Here is a 3,952-nt window from a genome sequence, read left to right as displayed (position 1 = left end):
AACCCAGGAGGTGGAGGTTGCAATGAGCCGAGATTGCATCACTGCACTCCAGCCTGGGTAACAGAGTGAGACTCTGTCTCAAAATAAAAAAGAAAGAAAGAAATGCTCTGTGATACAGAATGTAAAACTCAAGGCAAGGGTGTTGCATTAGAGGAAAATGATATGAGGCAGGAAGCAGATATGAGGGCCTTGTATTCCATTCACAAGTACTATAGGCAATGAGGCATGTGTAATTATGAGGGTGAGAGAACTTTCACAAAGGAACCATGACAACAGGGACTTTACCAAGCTGGGTAGAAAAGGCATCAAACTAATGGTGTTCAGTTGGGCAACCCCTGACAATGTTTCCACTTCAGTGATGACACCGTTCTCCTCCTTCATTCAGTACTGAGATTGCTAATTCAAATTACTGACAGTATATTGGATTAAAACAAGGAAGGGCAGAGTGTAGTCAGAAAAACATAATGAGGCAAAACAGAATTCACAGATCCAAAAAGGAAGCCCATTTTTCACAAGGTCTAGCAATCTGATGATATGACATTAGTGTTTAAGTACCAAGGCTTCTTCTGTTTACATGGGAGATTCTTTCAAAAATAACAACAGTCCTTGTGGAGATGGCAGGGATTCCTGTGGTCCTAGACCCCTTGCTGACACTTCATCATCCTCAAGTTCAAGATCCCATCCTAACGGGATAAGCCAACATTTCCCAGGAGGGATGTGAGAAAGCATAAGTAACAAGAGCCATTGAGATCTCAGCTTGGGGCAGGCACATGAACTCGTGTTTAGGAGATCAGAGTAGGAGTATCTCAAGGAAAACTGAATAAGCACTTATTGAGAGCCTGTTATATAACATTTCATTTGAAGAAAGTGTTCTGCTAAAAAAAAATAAACAAAATAAGGCTATTACATAAACCACTGTGGTATAACATTCTGACAGTTGGAACAGCTATTTTTTTTTCCAGATTCTGACATGGTCTATGAGCTAACCAGGAAAGGCAGTATAGCTGCAGGTAAATGCACGGACTTGGGCCAAACAGATCTGGTTTCAGCTTCCAGTCATCCCAGCTGCATGATCTTGCCCAAGTCACTGTAAGACTCTATTTCATCATCTGTATAATGCAGGGGGTGGGAGGATAGATAATACTTAACTCACTAGGGTGACCGTGAGGATTATAAGATATATGTAGTGTCTGGCACACATTAGACACCCAATAAATGTTAACTGTCAATAAAAATATTTATGACACAATTAATACAAATTATTTTAGAGAAACTAGAACATAAGTATACGTAAATGTTAGAGGAAACAATATTCATAATCCCACAGCCTTTAAATATTTATTGTGTATCCATCTACACCACTTTTATGTAGATATGTATAAGCTTATAAATAGATGTGAATATATGATATATACACTTACATAATCTGACTTTTTCTTTAATAATTTACATACTGAACACTACTTCATATTAAGAAATGTGTGGGCTGACTCCTTTTTCGGACTCAGCCCGCCTGCACCCAGGTGAAATAAACAGCCTTGTTGCTCACACAAAGCCTGTTTGGTGGTCTCTTCACGCGGACGTGCGTGATATTTGGTGCCAAAGACCCAGGACAGGGGGACTCCTTTGGGAGACCAGTCCCCTGTCCTCACCCTCACTCCGTGAGGAGATCCACCTATGACCTTGGGTCCTCAGACCAACCAGCCCAAGGAACATCTCACCAATTTCAAATCGGGTAAGCGGTCTTTTCACTCTCTTCTCCAGCCTCTCTTGCTACCCTTCAATCTCCCCGTCCTTCCAATTCCAGTTATTTTCCTCTCTAGTAGAGACAAAGGAGACACATTTTATCTGTGGACCCAAAACTCCAGTGCCAGTCATGGACTCGGGAAGACAGTCTTCCCCTGGTGTTTAATCACTACAGGGATGCCTGCCTGATAATTCACCCACATTCCATTGGTGTCTGATCACCACGGGGACGCCTGCCTTGGTCATTCACCCACATTCCCTTGGTGGCAAGTCAATTGCGGGGACGCCTGCTTTGGCTGCTCACCACCCCCTTCTCTGTGTCTCTACCTTTCTCTTTAAACTTACCTCCTTCACTATGGGCAACCTTCCACCCTCCATTCCTCCTTCTTCTCCCTTAGCCTGTGTTCTCAGAAACTTAAAACCTCTTCAACTCACACCTGACCTAAAACCTAAGCGTCTTATTTTCTTCTGCAACACCGCTTGGCCCCAATACAAACTTGACAATGATTCCAAATAGCCAGAAAATGGCTCTTTCAATTTCTCCATCCTACAAGATCTAGATAATTCTTGTCATAAAATGGGCAAATGGTCTGAGGTGCCTGACATCCAGGCATTCTTTTACACATCGGTCCCTTCCTAATCTCTGCTCCCTATGAGACTCATCCCAAATATTTCTTCTTTCTCTCCTGTCTATTCCTTCAGTCTCCACCCCAAGCTCTGAGTCCTGTGAATTCTCCTTTTCTAGAGACCCATCTGACCTCTCCCCTCCTCCCCAGGCTGCTCCTTGCCAGGCCAAGCCAGGTTCCAACTTTTCAGCCTCCGCTCCCCCACCCTATAATGCTTCTATCACCTCCCCTCCTCACACTCGGTCTGGCTGACAGTTTTGTTCTGTGACTAGCCCTCCCCTACCTGCCCAACAATTTCCTCTTAAAGAGGTGGCTGAAGCTGAAGACATAGTCAAGGTTAATGCCCCTTTTTCTTTAGCCGACCTCTCCCAAATCAGTTAGCATTGAGGCTCTTTTTCATCAAATATACAAACCCAGCCCAGTTCATGGCCCATTTGGCAACAACTCTTAGACGTTTTACCACCCTAGACCCAGAGGGGCCAGAAAGCCATCTTATTCTCAATATGCATTTTATTACCCAACTGACTCCCGACATTAGAAAAAGCTCCAAAAATTAGATTCTGGCCCTCAACCCCACAACAGAACTTAATTGACCTCACCTTCAAGGTGTATAATAATAGAGAAGAGTTGCAATTACTTGCCTCCGCTTTGAGAGAAACCCCAGCCACATCTCCAGCACACAAGAACTTCAAAATGCCTAAACCGCAGGGGCCAGGCGTTCCTCCAGGACCGCCTCCCCCAGGATCTTGCTTCAAGCGCCGGAAATCTGGCCACTGGGCCAAGGAATGCCCACAGCCCAGGATTCCTCCTAAGCCATGTCCCATCTGTGCAGGACCCCACTGGAAATTGGACTGTCCAACTCACCTGGCAGCCACTCCCAGAGCCCCTGGAACTCTGGCCCAAGGCTCTCTGACTGATTCCTTCCCAGATCTTCTCGGCTTAGCGGCTGAAGACTGACGCTGCCCGATCACCTCGGAAGCCTACAGGACCATCACAGACGCTCTGGGTAACCCTTACAGTGGAGGGTAAGTCCGTCCCCTTCTTAATCAATATGGAGGCTATCTACTCCACATTACCTTCTTTTCAAGGGCGTGTTTCCCTTGCCTCCATAACTGTTGTGGGTATTGATGGCCAGGCTTCTAAACCTCTTAAAACTCCCCAACTCTGATGCCAGCTTGGACAACATTCTTTTATGCACTCTTTTAGTTATCCCCACCTGCCCAGCTCCCTTATTAGGTAGAGACATTTTAACTAAATTATCTGGTTCCCTGACTATTCCTAGGCTACAGCCACACCTCATTGCCACCCTTTTCCCCCAGCTCAAAGCCTCCTTCACATCCTCCCCTTGTATCTCCCCACCTTAATCCACAAGTATAGGACACCTCTACTCCCTCCTTGATGACCAATCACACACCCCTTACCATCCCATTAAAACCTAATCACCCTTACCCTGCCACACTTTAAAAGGATTAAAGCCCGTTATCACTCACCTGTTACAGCATGGCCTTTTAAAGCCTATAAACTCTCCTTAAAATTCCCCATTTTACCTGTCCAAAAACCAGACAAGTCTTACAAGTTAG

The 3,952-nt window shown here is 45.1% G+C and overlaps 1 annotated feature.

Annotated features, from left to right (window-relative positions):
• Positions 204–283: a silencer, noted in NCBI's record as "silent region_20868". NCBI's record gives its function as "represses an Ori minimal core promoter by ATAC-STARR-seq in GM12878 lymphoblastoid cells {active_cell/tissue: GM12878}" and the evidence as "EXISTENCE:reporter gene assay evidence [ECO:0000049][PMID:35858748]".

The sequence above is a fragment of the Homo sapiens genome, chromosome X (assembly GCF_000001405.40).
Source record: "Homo sapiens chromosome X, GRCh38.p14 Primary Assembly".
NCBI lineage: Eukaryota > Metazoa > Chordata > Mammalia > Primates > Hominidae > Homo > Homo sapiens.
This window is presented reverse-complemented; position numbering and strand designations above follow the sequence as displayed.